Raw genomic sequence first — 12797 nt, 5'->3', positions numbered from 1 at the left:
ATAACTGAAATCACATAGTATATACTCCTTTGCATCTGGCTTCTTTGACTCAGCATAATGATTTGAGATTCATCCATATGCTGTTACATGTACTAGTAACGCATTTTTATTACTGAGTAGTATACAATTGCATGGCTGTATCACATTTTTGTACCTATTCACCTGTTAGTGGACATTTGGGTTGTTTCCCAAATTACAACCCACATTTGGCTATTACAAAGAAAGCTGCCATTAACTTTTGTGTACAAGTCTTTGTATGGACATGTATTATCTCTTGGGTGAATATATCCAGGGATGAAACGACTATGTTGAATAATAGATATATTTTAACTTTTTAAGAAGCTATCAAACTGTTTTCCAAGGTGGTTGTACCATTTTATGTTCCCAGCAGCAGTAACTGGTGAGAATATGGCTCATTTTCAAAAGATGATCTGAAGTTTCAAAAGTAAATAAGTTATTGAAACATGTAATTTGATAGTGGTAATTAGCCAACATGATAATACGTTACTCATAGGGTTTGTTGTGAGGATTACATGCACTAATGCATAAAATGCATTTAAGCGCAGAGGAAGTACTCAGTATTCATTAGCAGTTTTATTGTTATTCTGTTAATTTAACTTCTTTGGTTGTTAACAGTAGTACATTTGTGACTAATTTCGATAGACTAAAAATAAAGATAAACAGGCTAGACTTTAAAAATGAAAGTCACATATTCTACAAAAAACATTCACATTCATAAAAATACCCTTAAACAAAATACAAATTTATTTTTTTCTTTCCAGTAGAGGGGGCAGTGATTACCTGGCATTGTTGCAAAACAAAAGTTAAGCTTGCCATTATTGTAGTTACAATTTTTAATATAATTTTTGCAGTTATCTCTCAGTAACTTTTTATTATATACTATTTAATTATGAATGTCAGGGTCTGAAAAATACATGGTCAATTCAGGATTGGTTGTAACTTTTAAAAAAAGATACTTACATTGACTTGTTGTTATCTAAAATGTCTTTATTATGTAGACACATCACCTTCACTTTGGGATGTGGAATTTGCTAAGCAGTTAGCCACAGTAAATGAACAACCCCTTCAGAATGGATTTGAAGAGCTGATCCAGTGGACAAAAGAGGGGAAACTATGGGAGTTCCCAATTAACAATGAAGCAGGTAAGTGTTAATTTCAGGGGATTATAAAACGTATTGATTGAGATTATTTCTGCCAGATATTTACTTTTAGAGTATAGATACTTACATGAATTTCAAAACCTTTTGTGGATATCTTCATGGTGTCCTAAAATAAATCTGACAAGGTTTTTTAAAAAAGATGTTGGAATTTCACTTATTTTTAGATATTCGATAAGGAAAAATGAAGAAGTAAAACTATATGGCAAAAATCCATCATGAATTTCTATGACGTAAAAGGACTGAGAACTGCAAATGATACCAGTTTTCTAATCGCTAAACAGGATATTACTTGGTGAATCTTCAATAAATTAAATAAGGTGTATAAGATTATACTTAAATTTTGGAGAACATTACAACTCTTAAAAGTCTCACGCTGGTGTCCTTTAGTCATAAAACCATTGCATTAATGAGGTGCAAGGAACTTGTATGAGCCAGTGAAAGTAAAAACAGTATGCTTTGGAAATCTTTGCCTGCATAATATAGGTGCTTTGAACTGGCAACAGAATATCATCTACTTTACTGGATATTTTTTGGAGATGTTACCTCTTCCTAAATCAGAAGAAAAACAGTATTACTATGCTATTTATTTTTTATGATACCCATGTTGTCATCAGCTAAACATTTTAATTGAATTTATAGATGTATTTTGAATTAGAAAAGATTTATGGCTGGGTGCGGCTCACGCCTGTTATCCCAACACTTTGGGAGGCTGAGGCGGGCGGATCGCCTGAGTTCAGGAGTTCGAGACCAGCCTGACCAACATGGTGAAACACCGTCTCTACTAAAAATACAAAATTAGCCAGGCATAATGGTGCATGCCTGTAATCCCAGCTATTCAGGAGGTTGAGGCAGGAGAATCGTTTGAACCCGGGAGGCAGAAGTTGCAGTGAGCCGAGATCACGCTATTGCACTCCAGCCTGGGCAACAAGAGTGAAACTCCATTTCAAAAAACAAACAAACAAACAAAAAAAGATTCATTTACTTTTAGGGTAAGATTAGCTAGAAGTTGGAAAAGCCTAAATAAGTCTTAGGAAAATGTAGTCTGTATTTTAACCTTCATAATGTTATGGTATCATTGTAATATCTTAATTTTTGATAATCTTTTATTTGTTGGATTAATAGTTGGAATGGAAGCTTAAGTATCAGAAATATTTAGTCTTATATGTAAATAATATAATTAACATAAAGTGTTACTTTTTATAGGAAAACTTCAGAGACTTAGAGATTCTTTTAGCAAATTCTTAATATTTTGTATATTCGTATTGTTTTTGTTTTTTGAGATGGAGCCTCGCTGTGTCATCCAGGCTGGAGTGCAGTGGTGCTATCTTGGCTCACTGCAACCTCCTCCTCCCGGGTTCAAGCAATTCTCATGCCTCAGCCTCCCGAGCTAATTTTTGTATTTTTAGTAGAGATGGGGTTTTGCAGTGTTGGCCAGGCTGGTCTCAAACTCCAGACCTCGGGTGATCCACCCGCCTTGGCCTCCCAAAGTGCTGGGATTACAGGCTTGAGCCACCGCACCTGGCCTGTATATTCATATAGTACCTGCAATAATATAGCATACTGTGTTTCATGTATTACATAAACTGTATATTGCTTAAAGTATGGTTTCTGTGTTCTGGAAGGTATCAGGGTAACGTAAAAAGACCAACGCCTTTTTAGTCGTACAAACCTGAGTAGCAGCCCTGTCCATTTTAGCCATTTGCCTTTGAGGAAATTATTTAAGCTCCTGGGTATCAGTATCCTCTCTGTAAAATAATATCTGATATTAAGGAAAGATTTGGTTTACTCTGAAAACATGTTTGGATTTCATTATTTGAAGAAACTTGGGTGTTCCAAATCCTCATGGTTAAAAACCTGATTTAAAAACCCAGTATTAGGCCGGGCACAGTGGCTCATGCCTGTAATCCTAGCTACTTTGGAGGCTGAGGCAGGAGAATCACTTGAACCCAGGAGGTAGAGGTTGCAGTGAGCCAAGATCGTGCCACAGCACTCCAGCCTGGGTGACAGAGCGAAACTGTGCCTCAAAAAAAAAGAAAGAAAGAAAGAAAAAAAAACAGTATTGAGGTATAATAATGTGACTTTATTCAGGAGAGTCGGTGAAGCATAGTGGTTTTAGAAGTTCCAGATCCTGAGTAAGTTACAGACTTGATCTCTCCAAGCCTTACTTCCTTCATCTCTAAAATGTTGGGAATAATAATAGGACTCATTATACAAGATTGGTGTGAGAATTAAGTGAGGTTAAACAAGTAAAGCATCATCACCATCACCATCCCTGTTTCTACAGCAACAACATTGTGAAGGGGTTTGCTTCTGTAACTGTTTTCCATTGTATACTGTAACATTTTATTTTTCAAAATTTTACTTTATACTGGAACATTTTAAATCTTAAAATATTAGCAAGGATAGTATGTATTATCTGGGAACCACCAAATAGGGTGTTAGGAAAGCACGAACTCATGGTATGTTGTCATCAGCAGTCAAACACTTAAGTGCATCAAAATCTTGAGTGATCAAATTCCAACGGAATTTATCTTAAATTTGACCTGGTTTCTGAGAAAATTTAATTTCTAAAAAAGGAGAGAAACATGTTTTTTTGGTCAGGTTGGGGAGATAAATGTGACAGCTATCCACATGACACTGCATATTATTGATATTTCAGAGTTGGAAAAGAGGTGATCAGTAACTCATTTTCAGCTCCTTAAGGCAGTTGTTACCTGAAGTAAAAACAGGAAAGGACTATGGAAACTCTTACTTTGATCGCTGCCCTGGGTACACATTTAGAAACTTGTACTTTGAGAAACTGGCATTGTAACCTGAAGCCTCAACAATTCAATAACTTTCTTTTATATTTCTTATACTTAAATGTTGAAATGAATGAAATACCTTTCTTTCCCTACTAATAATTAGCTTTATGAAGATTTATTTGGATTCTTTTGGGGAAAGATGTTTTGTTTTGTTTTTAGTAGTATTGGAACATAATATTGAAAATGACAAAGTGACATATCGTGTTTACAATTTAGTTCGCAGTATGGTGTTTTTCCATTATATAAAAAATTAAGGTTTGTTGTTTTGCCACTTAATGCATATAAATTATTTTTCCAATTGAGAATAGCTTTTTTTCTGTTTCCGTTTCAAGGACTTGTTAGTCCCTTCCCTTGTGCTTTGCCTGCATGGAGATTTACAAGCGCTATTAGGTGGAATTGTTCTCACTTAGACTTGGCACTAGTTTTATATGTTGGATTGTTAATGATACATTTTTATTTTAGCCTCTACTTTGATTTTAACTAAATTTAATCACATTTATGCCTACCCAGTAACAGAGTGTTTCTAAGGTTGGTTTTTATGGGGGTGGAGGATTTGTTGGGGGGTTGGCTTCTTTAATACAACATAAAAACATGATCCGTGAAAGAAGAAAGTGGTAATTTGAACTATATTAAAAATAAGACATTTGCACTGTGAAAGACACTGTTAAAATATAAAAAGACAAGCCACAGTGTAGGAGAAAATATTTGCAAAACATCTATCTGTGATAAAAGACAGGTATACAAAATACATATTAAAAATTCTTGGCTGGGCGTGGTGGCTCACACCTGTAATCCCAGAACTTTGGGAGACTGAGGCAGGTATATCACCTGAGGTCACGAGTTCAAGACCAGCCTGGCCAACATGGTGAAACCCCATCTCTACTAAAAATACAAAATTAGCCGGGCTTGGTGGCACATGCCTGTAATCCCAGCTACTCGGGAGGCTGAGGCAGGAGAATGGCTTGAAGCTGGGAGGCAGAGGTTGTGGTGAGCCGAGATTGTGCCATTGTACTCCAGCCTGGGCAACAAGAGTGAAACTCCGTCTCAAAATAAATAAAATAAGATAAAGTAAAATAAAATAAAATGCAAAATATGGCCGGGCGCAGTGGCTCATGCCTATAATCCCAGCACTTTAGGAGGCCGAGGTGGGTGGATCAGTTGAGGTTAGGAGTTTGAGACCAGACTGGTCAACATGATGAAACCCCAACTCCTCTAAAAATACAAAAATTAGCCAGGCTTGGTGGTGCATGCCTGTAATTCCAGCTACTCAGGAGGCTGAGGCATGAGAATCTCTTGAACTCAGGACAGGGAGGTTGCAGTGAGCTGAGATCTCGCCACTGCACTCCAGTCTAGGTGACAGAGCAAGACTCCATCTCAAAAATAAATAAATAAAAATAAAATGGGCTGGGTGCAGTGGCTCATGCCTGTAATCCCAGCACTTTGGGAGGCCGAGGTGGGCGGATCACCTCAGGTAAAGAGTTTGAGACCAGCCTGGCCAACATGGCGAAACCCCGCCTCTACTAAAAATGCAAAAATTAGCCAGGTGTGATGGCGGGGCCTGTAATCCCAGCTACTCAGGAGGCTGAGGCACACGAATTGCTTGAACCTGAGAGGTGGAGTGTATAATGTCTTTGCTATTGTGAATAGTGCTGCAGTGAACATACATTGCTTGAACCTGGGAGGCAGAGGTCGCGCCACTGCACTCCAGCCTGGGCTACAGAGCGCGACTCTATCTCAAAAATAAATAAATAATAAAAAGAAAATGGCAAAATATCTGTTCAGATACCTTACCAAAGAACATATAAGGATGGTATATGAAAACATCATATGTTGTTAGGGAATTGGAAATTATTTTTTTCAAATAGCTAAATGTTTACTTTTTAATTTATGTCTCCTTTTTAAAACTCTCATTTATTTGTGTCTCTAATTTGTGTTTTCTTCCTATTTTTTTATTTCCAACTTTAATTTTAGGTTCAGGGGTACATGTGCAAGTTTGTTACATGGGTAAGTGGAGTGTCAGGGAGTTTGGTGTACAGATAATTTTGTCACCCAGGTAATCAGCGTAATACCTGATAGGTGGTTTCCCAATCTTCATTCTCCTCCCACCCTCCACCCTCAAATAGGCCCCAGTGTCTGTCATTCCCTTCTTTGTGTCTATATGTACTCAGTGTTTAGCTTCCACTTATAAGTGAGGACATGCAGTATTTGGTTTTCTGTTTCTGCATTAATTCACTTAGGATAATGGCCCCCAGCTCCATCTATGTTGCAGCAAAGGCCATGACCTCATGATTTTTATAGCTGCATAGTATCCCATGGTGTGTATGTACCCCATTTTCTTTATCCAGTCCACCATTCATGTGCACCTAGGTTGATTCCATGTCTTTGCTATTGTGAATAGTGCTGCAATGAACATACATATGCATGTATCTTTATGGTAGAATAATGTATATTCCTTTGGGCATATACCCAGTAATTGGATTGCTAAGTTGAATGGTAGTTCTGTTTTAAGTTATTTGAGAAATCTCCAGACTGCTTTCCACAGTGGCTAAACTAATTTACATTCCCACCAACAGTTTATAAGCATTCCCTTTCCTCTGCAACCTTAGGAGCATCTGTTGTTTTCAGCATTTTAATAGTAGCTATTCAGACTGGTGTGAGATGGTATCTCATTGTGGTTTTGATTTGCATTGCCCGGATGATCCGTGATAATGAGCATTTTTCATATGTTTGCTGGCCATGTGTATGTCTTCTTTTGAGAAGTGTCTGTTCATCTCCTTTGCCCACCTTTTAATAGGGTTGATTGTTTTTTGCTTCTTCAATTGTTTGAGTTCCTTATAGATTCTGGATATTAGACCTTTATTGGATACATAGTTTGCAGATATTTTCTGTCATTCTGTAGGTTTTCTGTTTATTGAAATTTCTTTTTGCTGTGCAGAAGCTCTTTAATGAGGTCCCACTTCTCAATTTTTGTTTGTGTTACAGTTGCTTTTTTTTTTTTTGAGACAGAGTTTTCGCTCTTGTTGCCCAGGCTGGAGTGCATTGGCGTGATCTCAGCTCACTGTAACCTCTGCTTCTTGGGTTCAAGTGATTCTCCTGCCTCAGCCTTCCAGTTAGTTGGAATGACAGGCGCCTGCCACCATGCCCAGCTAATTCTTTTTGTATTTTTAGAAGAGGCAGGGTTTTACCATGTTGGCCAGGCTGGTCTTGAACTCCTGACCTCAGGTGATCTGCCTGCCTCAGCTTCCCAAAGTGCTGTGATTACAGGGGTGAGTCACTGCGCCTTGCCTACAGTTGCTTTTTGACTTTGTCGTGAAGTCCTTGCCTGGGCTGTTGTCTAGGATGGTATTTCCTAGATCTTCTTGTAGGGTTTTTATAGTTTGAGATTTCACATTTAAGCCTTTAATCCACCTTGAGTTGATTTTTGTACATGGTCAAAGGTAGGGGTCCAGTTTCAGTCTTCTGCATGTGGCTAGTCTAAGGCTAATTTTTGATATGCTTTCCTAGAGTAATTCTCAATTTAGAGGCTTCAGTGGGCAAAGAAGGTCAGGATGAATGTTAATCACACTTTTGTTTCTATTCTTTAGTTGGTTTAAACTTTTTCACTTCTTATGTGTCCTCTAGGGTATCTGAAATATGTGCTGTAATATGATCCAACAAGAACAGTGAGAAAAGTTCAAATTACCATAAAACCCTAAAGAAGGGCTCTGTTATTTGGGCAAGTATAGTGTGGAGAAAATTAGGGGAAGCGTAAAGAGTATTAGGTATGTGCTAACTGACAGGTAGCAGGATCTGTTTGTTGTTTTTGATGAGATTATGGCCTGTGAACAGGAGCCTTAAAGTACTGACAGGAAAATAAATAATAGTTTTGATAATACATAGAAGTGGAAACAGCAATTCAAAGTGAAAATGACTGAGTTTGGTTCAGTGCTCTACTATGGCCTTCTCAAAAATAATTGGTCATTGCTATTAACTGGATTTCACCCTTTATTTGTTGTACCATATTTTAAAAGTGTATTCAATACTTAAAGCAGAATTAGACACAATTAACCTGTCACCTTATTTGATTGTGCATCATATAGGATTTCCTCCTTATGTTTAATGTTTCACTGTCTCTTATGTTTTCTTTACTGTATTGTGCTTCTTTGGTTTATTAAAAATATTTTAAATTACATAAATAATAATGAAAGTTTATTTGCAAAAGAGTCAAATCGTGTGAAAGAATACTGTACTTTACCCCTCAGTTCTCTTCTTTTTTTCCTGAAATAACCATCGTCAATAGTTTGATATATGTCCTCTCACTCGACATTAAATGGCAGTTACAGATTTATCTGCTGTTTTATTTGACTTGTATGGGAGCATACCATACATATATTGTCCTGCAGTGTGTGTGTGTGTGTGTGTGTGTGTGTGTGTGTGTGTGTGTGTGTATTTTGTTACTTAGCAATATATCTTGAAAGCATTTCCTTGTCAGTACATAGAGATAGACCTTATTCATTTTATAGTTCTATATGTCCCATTGTTATGAATGCAGACTATAATTTCTTTTACCATTTTCCTTTTGAATGATGGAGCTATAGTAGATCCTTTTACACATGTTCTTGTGTACATGTTTGAGTACAATTCAGAATAGGTATATTTTCAATGGCAATAAATACTTACAAAGTCTCTTCTGAAATGATAGCCAGTCAACCAACTATGTAAAAATTCTGTTTCTCTGCAGCCTAACTGATACTGGATATTGTTAACCTTTCAAATGTTCTGGGTAAAAAATGATATCAGTGGTGTTTTTATTTGCATTTCCCTGATTGATAACCAGATTACAAATCTTTTCATATGTTTATTGGCTATTTGTACTTCCTCTGTGACTTAGGTTTTTACATCCTTTGACTGTTTCTGTTGGGCTCTTTGTTAATAGTGTTTGTAGGAACTCAATATATTATGCACTTTCATTCTTAAACTCTTACATGTGTTGGAAATATGTTTCCCAGTTTGTCTCTTTGCCTTCTTTTAAAATAATTTGACTTTAAAAATCATAGTAAACATTTAGTTTAATATAAGTTTAATATAAAAGGTAATAATATAAAGCACAAGGCTTATAAAGCAGTTCTTTTTATCACCTATTAAGCCTGTTCTCAGAGCCAACAGTTTTTAATCTTTTAGCTGTGTTTTATTTTTTATATTTCTAAATTATATGCTTACCTCTATTTTAGATGTCATCTAGTATATATATCTTCTCCTCATCCTTCCAATGTAGATATATTACAATTTTTTGTAAGACATGAATTCATTGTTTACACTAATATGACTATGGACAATTGTGTGGGGTGTTGTTTTGTTATTTGGGGTTTTCTTTGTTGTTTTTTTTTTTAATTTTTTTTTATTATACTTTAAGTTTTAGGGTACATGTGCACATTGTGCAGGTTAGTTACATACGTATACATGTGCCATGCTGGTGTGCTGCACCCACTAACTCGTCATCTAGCATTAGGTATATCTCCCAGTGCTATCCCTCCCCCCTCCCCCCACCCCACCACAGTCCCCAGAGTGTGATGTTCCCCTTCCTGTGTCCATGTGATCTCACTGTTCAATTCCCACCTATGAGTGAGAATATGCGGTGTTTGGTTTTTTGTTCTTGCGATAGTTTACTGAGAATGATGATTTCCAATTTCATCCATGTCCCTACAAAGGACATGAACTCATCATTTTTTATGGCTGCATAGTATTCCATGGTGTATATGTGCCACATTTTCTTAATCCAGTCTATCATTGTTGGACATTTGGGTTGGTTCCAAGCCTTTGCTATTGTGAATAATGCCGCAATAAACATACGTGTGCATTTGTCTTTATAGCAGCATGATGTATAGTCCTTTGGGTATATACCCAGTAATGGGATGGCTGGGTCAAATGGTATTTCTAGTTCTAGATCCCTGAGGAATCGCCACACTGACTTCCACAATGGTTGAACTAGTTTACAGTCCCACCAACAGTGTAAAAGTGTTCCTATTTCTCCACATCCTCTCCAGCACCTGTTGTTTCCTGACTTTTTAATGATTGCCATTCTAACTGGTGTGAGATGGTATCTCATTGTGGTTTTGATTTGCATTTCTCTGATGGCCAGTGATGGTGAGCATTTTTTCATGTGTTTTTTGGCTGCATAAATGTCTTCTTTTGAGAAGTGTCTGTTCATGTCCTTCGCCCACTTTTTGATGGGGTTGTTTTTTTCTTGTAAATTTGCTTGAGTTCATTGTAGATTCTGGATATTAGCCCTTTGTCAGATGAGTAGGTTGCGAAAATTTTCTCCCATTTTGTAGGTTGCCTGTTCACTCTGATGGTAGTTTCTTTTGCTGTGCAGAAGCTCTTTAGTTTAATTAGATCCCATTTGTCAATTTTGTCTTTTGTTGCCATTGCTTTTGGTGTTTTAGTCATGAAGTCCTTGCCCATGCCTGTGTCCTGAATGGTAATGCCTAGGTTTTCTTCTAGGGTTTTTATGGTTTTAGGTCTAACGTTTAAGTCTTTAATCCATCTTGAATTGATTTTTGTATAAGGTGTAAGGAAGGGATCCAGTTTCAGCTTTCTACATATGGCTAGCCCGTTTTCCCAGCACCGTTTATTAAATAGGGAATCCTTTCCCCATTGCTTGTTTTTCTCAGGTTTGTCAAAGATCAGATAGTTGTAGATATACGGCGTTACTTCTGAGGGCTCTGTTCTGTTCCATTGATCTATGTCTCTGTTTTGGTACCAGTACCATGCTGTTTTGGTTACTGTAGCCTTGTAGTATAGTTTGAAGTCAGGTAGTGTGATGCCTCCAGCTTTGTTCTTTTGGCTTAGAATTGACTTGGCGATGTGGGCTCTTTTTTGGTTCCATATGAACTTTAAAGTATTTTTTTCCAATTCTGTGAAGAAAGTCATTGGTAGCTTGATGGGGATGGCATTGAATCTGTAAATTACCTTGGGCAGTATGGCCATTTTCACGATATTGATTCTTCCTATCTATAAGCATGGAATGTTCTTCCATTTGTTTATGTCCTCCTTTATTTCATTGAGCAGTGGTTTGTAGTTCTCCTTGAAGAGGTCCTTTACATCCCTTGTAAGTTGGATTCCTAGGTATTTTATTCTCTTTGAAGCAATTGTGAATGGGAGTTCACTCATGATTTGGCTCTCTGTTTGTCTGTTGTTGGTGTATAGGAATGCTTGTGATTTTTGCACATTGATTTTGTATCCTGAGACTTTACTGAAGTTGCTTATCAGCTTAAGGAGATATTGGGCTGAGACAATGGGGTTTTCTAGATATACAATCATGTCATCTGCAAACAGGGACAATTTGACTTCCTCTTTTCCTAATTGAATACCCTTTATTTCTTTCTACTGCCTAATTGTCCTGGCCAGAACTTGCAACACTATGTTGAATAGGAGTGGTGAGAGAGGGCATCCCTGTCTTGTGCCAGTTTTCAAAGGGAATGCTTCCAGTTTTTGCCCATTCAGTATGATATTGGCTGTGGGTTTGTCATAGATATCTCTTATTATTTTGAAATATGTCCCATCAATACCTAATTTATTGAGAGTTTTTAGCATGAAGGTTGTTGAATTTTGTCAAAGGCCTTTTCTGCATCTATTGAGATAATCATGTAGTTTTTGTCTTTGGCTCTGTTTATGTGCTGGATTACATTTATTGATTTGCGTATATTGAACCAGCCTTGCATCCCAGGGATGAAGCCCACTTGATCATGATGGATAAGCTTTTTGATGTGCTGCTGGATTCGGTTTGCCAGTATTTTATTGAGGATTTTTGCATCAATGTTCATCAAGGATATTGGTCTAAAATTCTCTTTTTTGGTTGTGTCTCTGCCTGGCTTTGGTATCAGAATGATGCTGGCCTCATAAAATGAGTTAGGGAGGATTCCCTCTTTTTCTATTGATTGGAATAATTTCAGAAGGAATGGTACCAGTTCCTCCTTGTACCTCTGGTAGAATTCAGCTGTGAATCCATCTGGTCCTGGACTCTTTTTGGTTGGTAAGCTATTGATCATTGCCACAATTTCAGATCCTGTTATTGGTCTATTCAGAGATTCAACTTCTTCCTGGTTTAGTCTTGGGAGAGTGTATGTGTCAAGGAATTTATCCATTTCTTCTAGATTTTCTAGTTTATTTGCGTAGAGGTGTTTGTAGTATTCTCTGATGGTAGTTTGTATTTCTGTGGGATTGGTGGTGATATCCCCTTTATCGTTTTTTATTGCATCTATTTGATTCTTCTCTCTTTTTTTCTTTATTAGTCTTGCTAGTGGTCTATCAATTTTGTTGATCCTTTCAAAAAACCAGCTCCTGGATTCATTAATTTTTTGAAGGGTTTTTTGTGTCTCTATTTCCTTCAGTTGTGCTCTGATTTTAGTTATTTCTTGCCTTCTGCTAGCTTTTGAATGTATTTGCTCTTGCTTTTCTAGTTCTTTTAATTGTGATGTTAGGGTGTCAATTTTGGATCTTTCCTGCTTTCTCTTGTGGGCATTTAGTGCTATAAATTTCCCTCTACACACTGCTTTGAATGTGTCCCAGAGATTCTGGTTTGTTGTGTCTTTGTTCTCGTTGGTTTCAAAGAACATCTTTATTTCTGCCTTCATTTCGTTATGTACCCAGTAGTCATTGAAGAGCAGGTTGTTCAGTTTCCATGTAGTTGAGCAGTTTTGAGTGAGATTCTTAATCCTGAGTTCTAGTTTGATTGCACTGTGGTCTGACAGATAGATAGTTTGTTATAATGTCTGTTCTTTTACATTTGCTGAGGAGAGCTTTACTTCCAAGTATGTGGTCAATTTTGGAATAG

At 37.0% G+C, this 12797-nt stretch overlaps 1 protein-coding gene across 2 annotated transcripts in view; it reads left to right on the top strand.

Moving 5' to 3' along the window:
* Positions 1 to 12797, top strand: part of MRPS31 (mitochondrial ribosomal protein S31) — a 42063-nt gene that overhangs the window by 20890 nt on the left and 8376 nt on the right. The window contains exon 7 of one of the 2 annotated variants that reach the window (XR_007063654.1): positions 1020 to 1096. Coding sequence is in view for 1 of the 2 variants with exons in the window: in NM_005830.4 (NP_005821.2) it covers positions 1020 to 1163 (144 nt within the window). In the remaining variant the exon portion in view is untranslated. Of the gene's footprint in view, positions 1 to 1019; positions 1164 to 12797 lie in introns of those variants that run through there. The other variant, NM_005830.4, reaches the window with a different exon arrangement.

Source organism: Homo sapiens, chromosome 13 (assembly GCF_000001405.40).
Source record: "Homo sapiens chromosome 13, GRCh38.p14 Primary Assembly".
NCBI lineage: Eukaryota > Metazoa > Chordata > Mammalia > Primates > Hominidae > Homo > Homo sapiens.
The sequence above is the reverse complement of the archived record's forward strand: the minus strand, read 5'-3'. Positions and strand labels throughout refer to the sequence as shown.